The sequence below is a fragment of the Homo sapiens genome, chromosome 12 (genome assembly GCF_000001405.40).
Source record: "Homo sapiens chromosome 12, GRCh38.p14 Primary Assembly".
NCBI lineage: Eukaryota > Metazoa > Chordata > Mammalia > Primates > Hominidae > Homo > Homo sapiens.
This window is the reverse complement of record NC_000012.12, coordinates 113,377,682-113,391,782: the sequence shown is the minus strand read 5'-3', so window position 1 is coordinate 113,391,782 and position 14,101 is coordinate 113,377,682. Positions and strand designations below refer to the sequence as shown.

At 51.7% G+C, this 14,101-nt stretch overlaps 1 protein-coding gene across 4 annotated transcripts in view, besides 1 other annotated feature; it reads right to left on the bottom strand.

The window, feature by feature from the left end:
* Window positions 1–153: 153 nt before the first annotated feature.
* PLBD2 (phospholipase B domain containing 2) overlaps window positions 154–14,101 on the bottom strand; it is a 33,043-nt gene continuing 19,095 nt past the window's right edge. For 3 of the 4 annotated variants that reach the window (NM_173542.4, XM_017018977.2, XM_011538023.3), the window contains 7 exons: window positions 10,941–11,038; window positions 7,518–7,678; window positions 6,837–6,932; window positions 6,500–6,571; window positions 4,694–4,846; window positions 3,877–4,039; window positions 154–3,324 (listed from right to left, as the gene is read on the bottom strand). In NM_173542.4, the coding sequence (NP_775813.2) occupies window positions 3,157–3,324; window positions 3,877–4,039; window positions 4,694–4,846; window positions 6,500–6,571; window positions 6,837–6,932; window positions 7,518–7,678; window positions 10,941–11,038 (911 nt within the window). In that variant the 3' untranslated portion in view covers window positions 154–3,156. The remainder of the gene's footprint in view (window positions 3,325–3,876; window positions 4,040–4,693; window positions 4,847–6,499; window positions 6,572–6,836; window positions 6,933–7,517; window positions 7,679–10,940; window positions 11,039–14,101) is intronic. The other variant, NM_001159727.2, reaches the window with a different exon arrangement.
* Window positions 10,914–11,439: an enhancer, noted in NCBI's record as "H3K27ac-H3K4me1 hESC enhancer chr12:113818149-113818674 (GRCh37/hg19 assembly coordinates)". NCBI's record gives its function as "activates a minimal SCP1, AML or CMV promoter by ChIP-STARR-seq in primed H9 embryonic stem cells {active_cell/tissue: H9 hESC(primed)}" and the evidence as "EXISTENCE:reporter gene assay evidence [ECO:0000049][PMID:30033119]".

Genomic DNA, 14,101 nt, shown 5'->3' with positions numbered 1-14,101 from the left:
GTCTCTACAAAAAGGAAAAATAACTTGAACCCAGGAGGCAGAGGTTGCAGTGAGCCGGGATTGTGCCATTACACTCCAGTCTGGCGACAGAGTGAGACTCCGTCTCAAAAAATAAATAAATAAATAAAAAGGAAAATAAGATAAAACCACAAGTCAATTCCCAACCCCAGACCCCAACCTTGCTTTATTTTCTCCACGGGTTTACCAGCACTGACACACTGCATATTTCATTTATTTTGTTTACTATCTAGTCAATGTAAACTTCACAAGAGCAGGAATGCTTCTGTCCCTTTTGTTATAAAGTATCCCCGGGACCTCATAACAGTGCCTGGCATGTACTAGGGGTTCAATAAGTGTTTGCTAATAAAGAGATGCTGAGTGCATGAGGCCCCAAGTGGGCTGCATCACATCCCCCAGGGAAACGCTGCTCACACCATTACCCCATTTCACAGATGAGGTAATCGAGGCTCAGAGAGGAGTCCATAGCTAGCTAATAAGAGGTGGAGACAGAATTGAAACCCAGGTCTCTGACTCCAGGGCTGTGTGCTTTCCTCTCTCCAAGCACACAGCACTGGGAGAGTCTTGTCTCCAAGGCAGGCTGCATGAGATCAGACAGGGAGAGAGCCTTTTTTTTTGTATCTGTCTGTATACCACAATATGGCTTAGGAAGGTCTTGGTGGTTAACAAGGCTCCCAAATAGGACCCAGAACACAGGTGCTCAATAAACATCTGGATGGATAGATGGATGGATGGATATGAATGAATGGATGGCTGATGGATAGAAAATAGATAAATATGGATGCATGGGTGGATATTAATGAATCTGCACAGACCCGTGTGTGGATGGATGGGTGATAAATGAATAGGTAGGTGGATGGACGGGTGGGTGGGTGGATGGATGAATGGATGGATGAGTGGGTGGATGGATGGGTAGATGGGTGATAAATGGATAGGTGGACGGATGAGTGAATGGGTAGATGGGTAGATGGATGGAAATGAACAGATGGAAATGGTTGGATGGGTGGATAAATGGTTGGAAGGATGGATGGATGGGTGAGTGGGTAGATGGATGATAAATGGATAGGTAGGTGGATGGATGAGTGAATTAGTAGATGGGTAAATGGGTGGAAAATGAACAGATGGAAATAGTTGGATGGGTGGATAAATGGTTGGAAGGTTGGATGGATGGGTGAGTGGGTAGATGGATGATAAATGGATAGGAAGGTGGATGGATGAGTGAATGGGTGGATGGGTAGATGGATGGAAAAACAGATGGAAATGTTTGGATGGGTGGATAAATGGTTGGAAGGATGGATGGATGGATGGGTAAATGGGTGATAAATGGATAGGTAGGTGGATGGAGGAGTGAATGGGTGGACGGGTAGATGGATGGAAAATGAACAGATGAAAATGGTTGGATTGATGGTTGGATGGGTGATTGGATGGATGGATGGGTGGATGGGTGACAAATAGGTAGGTGGATGGGTGGATAGGTGAGTGGGTAGATGATTGGGTGGGTGGATGGATGGATGCGTTGGCAGATGGGTGGATGGATGAATGGATAGGTAGTTGGATGGGTGGGTGGATGAATGGGTGGGTAGATAAATGGGTGGGTGGATGGGTGATAGATAGATAAGAACTTCGTAAGCCATGCTGTGGTATACAGACCAATACAAAAAAGGATCCCTCCCTGTCTGATCTCATAGGTGGATGGATGAGTCAATGGCTGGATGAGTAAATGGGTGGGTGGGTAAGTGGATGGAAAATGGACAAATGAGGCCAGGTGCGGGGGCTCACATCTGTAATCCAAGCACTTTGGGAGGCCAAGACGGGCGGATCACTTGAGGCCAGGAGTTCGAGACCAGCCTGGCCAACATGGTGAAACCCTGTCTCTACTAAAAATACAAAATTAGCCAGGCATGGTGGCTCATGCCTGTAACCCCAGCTACTTGGGAAGCTAAGGCAGGAGAATCGCTTGAACCCAGGAAGCAGAGGTTGCAGTGAGCAGAGATTATGCCATTGCACTCCAGCCTGGGCAATAGAGTGAAACTCCCACTCAGAAAAAACAAAAACAAAAAAAAAAGAAGAAGAAAGAAAATGGACAGATGGAGATGGCTGAATGGTTGGATGGGTGGTTGGATGGGTGAGTGGATGGATGATAAATGGATAGGTAGATGGATGGATGGATGATGGAAGACGGATGGGTGGGTGGAAGGCTGTGCAGATGGATGATGGGTGAGTATGTTGGCAGATGAATGAATGGACAGAAGGACAGACAGAGGGCTGCACAGGAGGCTGCATGGGGGATGGCGCAGAACCCAAACCTGAGAGGAGAAAAAGCGCTGACCCCACCTTCCCTGCCACCCCAAGAAGCACAGCATGGGGCCACAGCCGCTCTTGTTTAATGGTGGCACAGCCTGCGGTCTGGTTCCTCCATCAGGGCGCTGTGGGTATGGCCCTGAGGTGAGGGGCAGGCCTGGGGTGGGGTGGGGTGGGGCCTGAGGCAGAAGCATGGGGGCTGACCCTCTGCCTGACATGGAGAGAGGACATTCAGAACCCTCCAGCCACAGATGGCCAGAAACTTTGGTTTGTGTTTGTTTTCAAGTTTCTGTCCTCAAGGAAGCTGCCCAGAAAGGGAGACGAGGGGACTGCTTCCTGAGGGAGCAGAGGGGCCAGAGCTGGGAGGAGCAATGCCAGCCGAAGACAACGCCCAGACAAAGCTCACCAGCTCCAGGGCCACCCGTGGGAATGCAGCTGGGAGAAGGGTGCTGGAACAGGCTCCTTCCACCCCATGGGAGCCCCAGAGTCTGCCCCAGGACCTTCCCAAACCCTCAGGAAGGAGAAGCACGAGGAAGGGGCCCCAGAGGTGGGAATGAGGTTGAGAGAGCAGCAGTAGGAAACAGACAGAAACAGAGAGTGGGAGATTTAGGGCAGGGCAGAAGAGACGCCACGGTGCCCACCCACCTCGGGGGAGAGAGGGGGTCAGTTCTGAGCCCCATCAGGTTCGTGACCCACTCTAGGAGGAGATGACTCAGACCCCAGATCAGAGAACGAAGCCCCCAGGAGGGGCTGGAGTTAGAAGTCCGGTGGCCTTGGGACGGGGGTGACCCTGACGAGGGTCAGCAGGGGCGAAAGCAGCAGAGCAGGGACAGAACTTCAGTCCCATGAAACCTTGACAGGCGCGAACTTCCAGAGGTCTGGCTGGCCCATGTGCAGCAGGCCGCTGAAGGGCGAGGTGCTCCACTGGAACGGGGGCACCTGGTCCCACGTGGGACCGCTGGCCGCCAGCAGGCTCAGGATCCTGGCCAGTGACATGCTGGTCACCTGGGGACAGGGCAGAGCCGCAGCTGAGCAGGGGTCCTGGCCTGCCCCAATCCAGGCACCCAGCCTCCCACCCTGACCTTGACCCCAGAGCCCAATTCTGAACTGTCACTTTTTTTTTTTTTGAGTCTCTGCTCTGTCACCCAGGTTGGAGTGCAGTGACGTGATCTTGGCTCACTGCAACCTCTGCCTCCCGGGTTCAAGCAATTCTCATGCCTCAGCCTCCTGAGTAGCTGGGATTACAGACGCCCGCCACCACGCCTAGCTAATTTTTGTATTATTAGTAGAGACGGGTTTTCACCATGTTGGCCAGGCTGGTCTCAAACTCCTGACCTCAAGTGATCTGCCCACCTTGGGCTCCCAAAGTGCTGGGATTACAGGCATGAGCCACCGTGCCCAGCCCATACTGTCACCTTTACTGTGACCCCAACCACAGCCCAATTCCGACTGTGATTCCTGCCCCGCCATCAGCTTTGCCCCAACCTGTCCCTTCCCCAAAGCTGGTGATGGTGACTTCCCCCACCCACAGCTCAGGCCCTAGGGAGGAGGCAGCACCTTCACATCGATACCCCCATGGGAGCGCTGACGCAGGGCCTGGAAGGGGTAGGAGCCATTGGCCGGGTTGAGGTCGGAGCGGGCGGAGATAGCATTCTCCCCATTGGGCTGGGGGTTGCAGGCTTTGCACAGTGACAGAGGGTCATGGAGGAAGTCATTGTACCTGGATGGGGAAAAGGAGGGAACATCAGTCATCCCAGGAAGGAGAGGCTAAGACGGGGGCCAAAATCCTCACAGGCAGCCCCGTTAACAGCTGCCAGCCTTCAACTTGATGAGCCCCTCCCACTGCACACTACCCCCGACAGTTCCTCTGCCTGGGGCCCGGACCCCTTCACCTAAGTCACTCTGCCTTCATTATTCAGCTCTCTGCTCAGGCACTCATCCTCAGGGAAGGCCTCCATGCCACCACCCCAGCCAGGTGAGGCACCCGTTTGTTCCTGGATAGCCTCTCTTGGAACACAGCCATCTTTACACATTGACACCAGTGCAAGAACTTGATGGATTTCTGCACCGCCCAAGAGACAGGACAGTGGGGCACAGGTTTTCTACCTGTTGCTCCTGGTACCAAGCATAGTGCCTAGCAGTACAGGTCACTCAACAGATGTCTAGCATCCTCCCCTTAGCTATGAGGACAGTGACAGGGCCCAAGTGGAGAGCGGCCACCGAGCTGCTGCACTGGTGTCCAACATCTGACCACCCCCTGCTGGCCCTCTGGGGCTGGCAGCAAAGTTTGAATGAGTTGGTACAAAAAGCGCACAGGAAGTTCTGTGTTCCTGCGGCCTCCCTCTCCCCAACCCACCACCCAACTGGCACCTACCTCATCAGCCTGACCATGGAGTCCATGTCTTGTACCAGTGACTGGTTCCGCCGGAAGATCTGGGCCCGGGGGCTCCCGTCATAAGAAAACCAGTCCCCATACTGGGCCACTAGGGCCTGCAGCCCACTGGCATTGAACACAGTCTCGAAGGACCTGCCGGGGACAAGGATGGTCACCCATGACCCCCACTGGCCTCACTCAGCCAAGGCTGTGGCCAGGGAGGGGAGGGGCAGTCACACCAGGACATTATTACTTACAACTACGACATTCAGGCTGGGTGCAGTGGCTCACACCTGTAATCCCAATACTTTGGGAGGCCGAGGCGGGCAGATCACCTGAGCTCAGGAGTTTGAGACTAGCCTGGCCAACATGGTGAAACCCTGTCTCCACTAAAAATACAAAAATTAGCCAGGCACGGTGGTGTGTGCCTGTAATCCCAGCTACTCGGGAGGCTGAGGCATGTACTCACTTGAACCTGGAAGGTGGAGGTTTCAGTGAGCTGAGATCGAGCCATTGCACTCCAACCTGGGCGACACAGCGAGACTCCGTCTCAAAAAAAAAAAAAAAAAATTAGCCGGCGTGGTGGCACGTGCCTGTAATCCCAGCTACTTGGGAGGCTGAGGCACAAGAATCACTTGAACCCGGGAAGCAGAGGTTGCAGCAAGCTGAGATCGCACCATTGCACTCCAGCCTGGGCGACACAGCGAGACTCCGTCTCAAAAAAAAAAAAAAAAATTAGCCGGCGTGGTGGCACGTGCCTGTAATCCCAGCTACTTGGGAGGCTGAGGCACAAGAATCGCTTGAACCCGGGAAGCAGAGGTTGCAGCAAGCTGAGATCGCACCATTGCACTCCAGCCTGGGTGACAGAGCGAGACTCTGTCTCTAAAAACAAACAAACAAACAACAACAACAACAACAAAACCAACTATGACATTCGGGATAACAATAATGTCTTCCATTTGTGCTGGGGGGTGGCTTGGTGGGGTGGCCAAGCTTGGGCTCTGGGGCCCAAAAGGCATGGCATCAAATCCTGCCTTCAGTCCGGGTGTGGTGACTTATGCCTATAATCCCAGCACTTTGGGAAGCCAAGGCAGGCGGATCACTTGAGGTCAGGAGTTTGAGATTAGACTGGCCAACATGGTGAAACCCTGTCTCTACTGAAAATAGAAAAATTAGCCAAGGATGGTGGCTGGCGCCTGTAATCCCAGCTACTCAGGAGGCTGAGGCAGGAGAATCACTTGAGCTCAGGAGGCGGAGGCTGCAGTGAGCTGAGATTGCACCATTGCACTCCAGCCTGGGTGACAGGGCAAGATTCTGTCTCAAAACAAAAAACAAAAAACAAATCCTGCCTTCACCATTCGCCAACAGGGGAAGCTTGGGAAAGTGAGGTACTTTCTCAGGGCCTCAGTTTCATCATCTGTGAGATGGGAACAGGAACTCTAGTGACCACATGTGGCAATTTTAAGAGTCAAATGAGAAAATGCAGGTAAAGTAAGTGAGCCTCAGGAGGTGACAGCTGTACAGCCCAGTAAGGCAGATCCAGTCAGAGACCCTGGCAGGGGCCAGTCCCTGAGCCTGGCCACCCCACACCACCCTGCTCTGGGTGTTAGAACCAGAGGTCACATGGATGCTGACTTAAGCCATGCAACTACACTGCCAAACTGTCTGGGCTCTCCTGGCCAGAAAAGGGGGTAGGCTGGGATTCTTTGTTCTGTGGGTTTAAAAACATTGCCTAGGAAGGAGCTGGGCAAGGAGTGAGGTGGATGCCCTGGAGGGTGACGGGGAGCGGAGTGAGAAGGCACGCACGGTATGTTGTAGCTGGCCCAGTAGGTCTTCTGGTAGAGCTCCGAGGTCTTGTCAGCCACCACCACCATGCCGCTGAGACCGAGAAGAGAGATGGGGTGGAGGTGATCAGAAAAGGGGCTCCTGTGGGCACTGCCCTGCTCGGGGAGCCCCGATGGCTCCCCATTGCCTGGAGGATGGATTAAGTCCTGAACTTCAGCCCCCACCAGGGACACCTTCTCTTCCAGCCACACCCTCCTGAGATCGTTCACTTCCTGCACAGCGCCAGCACGGCTCTGGGCCTTCACCCTGGCAGTCCCCTCTGCCCCGAGCCCCCACCCCTCCCTCCCAGGGTACGCACGGGATCTGCTCCAGGATGGTAAGCACCCGGCTCCCGGGGCTGGGCCCACCCGGGATGAACGCCTTGTAGTCCACGATCATCCACTGGTTGTTATACCTGCCGGGCAGGGGAAGGGAGGACTGAACAGAGCCTGGAGCCACCTCCCCAGCTTTCCCCACCCTGCAGTGTCCCACTCAGCTAGGAATTACAGGAAGTGGGCCTGGGGTTGTCCAGCCATTCAACTGACACCCTGACGCTGCAGCATGACCAGGTATCCACAAACCCCTCTCTCGTCATGCTGCTTGACTGTTCCAGAATATTCTGTGGCTCCCTAGGTCAGCTCCTCTGCCGGATGCTGTAAGATCTGCACTGCCCAGTTCCAGTGTCTCTGGCTCACAGGCCCTGCCACCCACCCACGTCCACCTCCTCAAACAGCCCTCCCCACTGTCCCCTTGAGAGTCTTCAGGTTCCAAGTGCTCTTCCTGTACTGCCACCAAGGCACCCCTTCCTAGGCTGAGGAGCCTGCAGGGGAGGGGCAAATCCTTTCCTTCCCTAGCCTCAGTCTCCCCATGTATGAAACAAAGGAGGGCGTGGGGTGTGTGGCCCGGATGCCACATCTGGTCCCCAGGAGTGTGAGTGTTAAAGGGGAGGTTGGTCTATCTCTTGGTGCAGGGGAAGCCACAGGGCCAGAAGCCCACTCACGTGCCGCTGTTGAACCTCTTGAAGATGTCTGCCCAGGTGGCCCCATCCGAGGCCAGGCGGTTGGCCACGATGTTGCGTACCCACTCCAGCACACAGCCCCTGGGCCGCACATACTTCCACAGGGCTGGGTTCTTGTTGCCAATGGTGGTCTCCAGTGTCACCTGTGGGAAGGTCAAGGGGGCTGCTGCACAGCCTAGGCATGCTGCCACCAAGTGGCAGTACTTCATCAGTCATGGCTCCAAAAATTTTTTTTTTTTTTTTTTTTTTTTGAGATAGAGTCTCACTCTTGCCCAGGCTGGAGTGCAGTGGTGTAACCTCAGCCCACTACAACCTCCGCCTCCCAAGTTCAAGCAATTTTCGTGCTTCAGCCTCCCTAGTAACTAGGATTACAGGCACGTGCCCCCACGCCTGGCTAACTTTTGTATTTTTAGTAGAGGCAGGGTTTCTCCATGTTGGCTAGGCTGGTCTAACTCCTGACCTCAAGTGATCCGCCCACCTCCGCCTCCCAAAGTGCTGGGATTACATGTGTTAAATACTTACTTAATCTGCCGGGCATGGTGGCTCACACTTTGGGAGGCCAAGGTAGGTGGATCACCTGAGGTCAGGAGTTCCAGACCAGCCTGGCCAACATGGTAAAACCCTGTCTCTACTAAAAATACAAAAATTAGCCAGGTGTGGTGGCATACACCTGTAATCCCAGCTACTGGAGAGGCTGAGGCAGGAGAATGACTTGAACCCAGGAGACAGAGGTTGCAGTGAGCCCAGATCATGCCACTGCACTTCAGCCTGGGTAACAAAAGAAGAAATAAATAAAAATAAAAACTCATATCCAGTTGAGGCACGTGTTCCCCACCAGTTCCTTGGACAAGCACGCAGGAGGATTTGGGATCATGCATCTAGCTTTGCCCTGGTGAACAGCCCCTGAGAGGCCCAAAGAGCCGCTCCCATGAACCCACTCCCTCACCAAGCTGGGCAACCTCCCATTCCCACCCCTTTCCCACAGTTCTGCAGGAAAAGTTGCACGGCCTGAGGCTGTCAGCCTGGCAGATGCAGCAGTCAGAGGACTAGGAGGCCTTACAACAGGAGAGGCCCTCAGTCTCCCTCCAGCCTTGGGGCATGCAGGATGCCCACCGCTGCCTCCGATTGCCTCCTCTCCCTTCTCCATTTCCTGCTGGAACCCTTGGCTGCCTTCAGCATATTTGAAAAGTAAAGCTTAGTTCTTGTGAGTTAAAAACCAAACCAAACAAAACTCATGTAATCCCAGCTATTCGGAGGCTGAGGCATGAGAATCACTTGAACCCTGGAAGCGAAGGTTGCAGTGAGCTGAGATCGTGCCACTGCACTCCAGCCTGGGCAACAGAGAGAGAGCCTATCTAAAAAAAAAAAAAAAAAAAAAAACACACACACACACACACACACACACACACACAAAAAACCACCACCACCACCACCCCCACCAAAAAGCTGAGAACAGCTAAAAGATAGCTGTATCCATAAATGTGATTTTTTCTTTTTTCTCTTTAAAGAGGAAAAAAAAGGCTGGACACAGTGGCTCAGCACTTTGGGAGGCCAAGGGGGTCAGATTGCTTGAGCCCAGGAGGTCAAGACCAGCCTGGGTAACATGGCAAAACCTGTCTCTACAAAAAATAAAAAAATTAGCCAGGCATGGTGGCAGGCGCCTATAGTTCCAGTTACTTGGGAGGCTGAGATGGGAGGATCGCTTGAGGCTGAGGTGATAGAGGCTGCAGTGAGCTGTGATCATGCCACTGCACTCAGGCCTGCATGACAGTGTGAGATCCTATCTCTGAAAAAAAAAAATCCTGAAATTTGGTATTTCTTTCCACTGTTAACGTGACACACCACAGTGGTATTAGTAGTCACTGGGACGGTCACTGTCAGAAATCACAGATGTTTTTCCATCAGATTACAAGGCTGTACATACCTTAAAGTATCATTCATGCACCTTGCTTCTTCTAACTTATGGTATTTATCACACCTGCTTCTGGATCTTATTATTCAGTGTGTTAATAAAGCAGCACATATATACTAAAAGTTTACTTATATTTTGATAACCATATTTCACTATAACTGGTTTCCTCCATAATCCTATACATTTTGGTTTATGTGTCTAAAAACACTAATTTGCCAGGCACAGTGGCTCACACCTATAATCCCAGCACTTTCGGAAGCTGAGGTAGGAGGATCCCTTCAACCCAGGAGTTCGAGACTGGCCTGGGAAATATAGTGAGACCTCATTTCTACAAGAAATTTAAAAATTAGCTGAGCATGGTGGCATGTGCCTGTAGTCCCAGCTACTCAGGAGGCTGAGGCAGGAGGATCGCCTGAACCCAGGAGGTGGGAGGTTGCAGTGAGCCACGATCACACCACTGCATTCCAACCTGAGTGACAGAGAGAGACCCTATCTCTATGAAAAAAAATAAATAAATAATAAAAGTTAAAACACTATTCTGAGAAGAGGGCCAACAGCCTCCTGGACTGCCCAAGGTGTTTATGGCACAAAAACAGTTAGGGACCCTGATGGAAGGGAAGTTTCCTGCCCAGACCCTTTCCTGGTAACCAGGTGGAACCATTTCACGTGTCCCTCCCCAGCTGCCTCAGTCCCCTTCCCCACCTGGGCCACAGCATGGGGGTTCCCTCACCCACCGCCTGGCCCTCTCTTGCCTCGTTCCACACTCAGAAAAAAGCAAGGATCAGACAAGAAGAAGAGTCCCCACCCCTCCCGTCCCCGCAGGGAGCTGGCGTTCTCTGCGCTAAGGGTGTTTTTTAGAGTGATGTTTTTTCTCCTCTGTCTCGTTGCCCTGGAGATCAAAGGGTTCACTTTCTCAGCGAGGGGTGCCAGGGACAGATTTCTAAACAAGTCTGGACCGCAGCCAGGAAAAAAGATGAAAACAACACACTGTAAACAGCCTCTATTCAGCAAACCTGGTCAGGTCAGAGGGGCTCTGAGGAAAGCAAGAGGGAGGCAGGAGGAGAGGGAAGCGGTGGGGATGTGGGGGGGGCGGGGGCACAGTTATCCTGAATACATAAAAACAAGTGAGGTCACTGAGGTCAGGGATAGTCCCAAACATCCCCAAGTCCAGCCTTTCCTGACAACCAGGGTTACATGCAGAGTCCCAGGCCATCTGCAGGTTTTGGAGGCCCTGTGCGGGGCCTGGGGGTCTATGTTTAAACACGCCCTTGTGGTGGTCCAAGTCCCCAGAGCAGGGGAAGGGCGAGTCTGGGCTCTGAATGGCAGGTGGGGCAGCGTCCACCTCATCCTCCACTGCACCCCTGGCTCCTACATGGCACCCAGCACTGGGCTGCAGCCTGGTCCCCACTTGCCGCAGGAATCAATCCTGCCAGCTCAGAGCCGCCGTGTGACAAACACCCCAGGAACAGAGGAGACATGAGAAAGGGACTCACCAGCCCACTGCCCAGGATGTAGAAGTCGTCGCAGGAGAAGATGGTGCCGGGGTAGGAGGAGAAGACCAGCTTGTTGCCGGGAACCAGCGGGTAGTCCCCTGTGCAGGCAGAGCGAGCCAGGGATGCTGGTCAGACAGGCACAGGTGGAGGCCCCTGCACCCTACCTAACAAGACACAGGCACAGGGGCACAGGCAGGCCTCCGAGGAAGCCCCCACTGTGTCCTTTTTGTCATTTAGCAAATGAGGTCATTGGGCATATAAAAGTGCATATACGTGCAAGTAAAAATAAAAGCTAGCAGCAAAACTTATATAGTTGGCCCTCCATGTCCGTGGGTTCCACATCCTTGGATTCAATCGACTGGGGACCAAAAATACTAGGAAAAAAACATGATTAAAAAGAAACAACACAGCTGGGTGCAGTGGCTCACACCTGTAATCCCTGCACTTTGGGAGGCCAAGGCAGGCGGATCACGAGGTCAGGAGACCAAGACCATCCTGGCTAACACGGTGAAACCCGTCTCTACTAAAAATACAAAAAATGAGCCAGGCGTGGTGGCGTGCGCCTATAGTCCCAGCTACTTGGGAGGCTGGGTCAGGAGAATGGCGTGAACCCGGGAGGCAGAGCTTGCAGCGAGCCGAGATCGCGCCACTGCACTCCAGCCTGGGCGACAGAGTGAGACTCCATCTAAAAAAAATAAATAAATAAATAAATAAAAGAAATAACACTAAAAGATAAAACAAATTTTAAAAATACAGTATAACAACTATTAATGTAGCATTGTATTAGGTCTTACAAGTAATCTAGAGATGATTATAGGATATGGGAGGATATGTATATGTTATAGGTAAACAGTCAGCCGTATTATAGAAGAGACCTGAGCTTCCACAGGGGCTCCTGGAGTCAACTCCCTCCCCAACACCAAGGGACAACTCTGTGTGTGCGTGGGTATATGTGTATGTGTTAAATATATATACTCAGATAGATAGACAAACAGATAAATATTTTGTTCACTGGACATTTTTTTTTTTTGAGACAGAGTTTCGCTCTTTTTGCCCAGGCTGGAGTGCAATGGGGCGATCTCAGCTCACTGCAACCTCCACCTCCCAGTTGTAAGCGCTTCTCCTGCCTCAGCCTCCCGAGTAGCTGGGATTACAGGCCCACCCCCGGCAGGTACCCTCACCCCTGCCCTAGAACTCCTTCTACCTGAAACCCATCCCTTGACAAGTGCTAGTCTGGTTTTATGCACTGTCTGCAGCAGGGCTACTGTGACCTCACGCTTATGCTGGAGGCTCATTACCCCTGTGATCTTGTAAATTGACTCCTTATACCCGCCCTGCATGGGGGCAGAGAATTATCATCTGCACTTTGCAGATAAGGCAATCTGAGACTCAGAAAGGCTAAGTAACTTAGCAGAGGCCAAACAGTTAAATGGCTGAGCAGGGATTCTACCCAGACCTCTTCCCTACAGTGCTCCAGAGTTCTGGGTGTAGCTCTCTGAATTATCCTTTGTCTTTTTTTTTTTTTTTTTTTTTTTGAGACAGAGTCTTGCTCTGTTGCCCAGGCTAGAGTGCAGTGGGGGGATCTCGGCTCACTGCAACCTCTGCCTCCCAGGTTCAAGTGATTCTCTTGTCTCAGCCTCCCGAGTAACTGCAATTACAGGCATTTACCACCATGTCTAGCTAATTTTTGTATTTTTAGTAGAGACATGGTTTTACCACATTGGCCAGGCTGGTCTCGAACTCTGACCTCAAGTGATCCACCAGCCTCGGCCTCCCAAAGTGCTAGAATTATAGGCATGAGCCACCGCGTCTGGCCTGAATTATCTCTTCCACATTAAGTCTTTGCACTTTAAAACAAAGGGACCAGTAGGCCGGGCACAGTGGCTCACGCCTGTAATCCCAGCACTTTGGAAGGCCAAGGTCAGGAGGCCAGGAGTTTGAGACCAGCCTTACCAACATGGTGAAACCCCATCTCTACTAAAAATACAAAATTAGCCAGGTTGGGGGTGCATGCCCGTAGTCCCAGCTACTCAGGAGGCTGAAGTGGGAGAATTGCTTGAACCTGGGAGGCGGAGGTTGAAGTGAGCCGAGATTGTGCCACTGCACTCCAGCCTGGGCAACAGAGTGAGACTCTGTCTCAAAGAAAAAAAAAAAAAAAAGGAAAGGAAAAAGGCACAGTGGGACCCAGCGCAGAGGCTCACACCTGAAATCCCAGTGCTTTGGGAGGCTGAGGCAGGAGGATCACCTGAGGCTAGAAGTTTGTGACCAGCCTGGGCAACACAGTGAGACCCTGTCTCAAAATAAGTAATTTGAAAAACAAAACGCACAGTGGACCAAACATGGCAGTACTGGCAACTCTCCAAGGCAGCCTAGTGGGCAAAAGAAGGAAGTCGCAAATAATTCATACAGTATAATCTTAATTATGATTTTAAAAAAACTCAGAAAGCAAACATTTTAGAGCAGTGAAACTATTCTGTATAATACTACAATGATGGGTATAGCACCCCATTCCATGCATGAAGCCCACCCTTGGAAATTTTTTTTTTTTTTTGAGACAGAGGCCGACTCTGTTGCCTAGGTTGGAGTACAGTGGCACCATCTTGGCTCACTGCAACCTCTGCCTTCGCGGTTCAAGCAATTCTGGGGCCTCAGCCTCCCGAGTAGCTGGGATTACAGGTGTGCGCCACCACGCCCAGCTAGTTTTTGTATTTTTAGTAGAGATGGGGTTTCACCATGTTGGCCAGTCTCGAACTCCTGACCTCAAGTGTTCCACCTGCCTTGGCCTCCCAAAGTGCTGGGTTTACAGGCATAAGCCATTGTGCCCAGGCAAGGTACATTTTTTAAAGTCTAGGAGAAAACATAACCAAATGTTCACAGAAATGTTCTCTTTTGGGTTGTGGAGTGTTCAAGTGATTTTCATTGTGAGAGTGTTTTGGTGGATTCTCCAATGTTCTATAACATACCTGTATGACTTATACAGTATGTTTTTAAAAGCTATTAAAATTTTAATGGATATATAGCAATGAGAATGATAGATCTACAGCTACACACAGTAATACAGATGAATCTCACAGACATGCAGAACAAATGAGCACACACTACATGATTCCATTCATATGACATTCAAAACCAGGCAAACCTAACCTATTCTGTGAGAAATC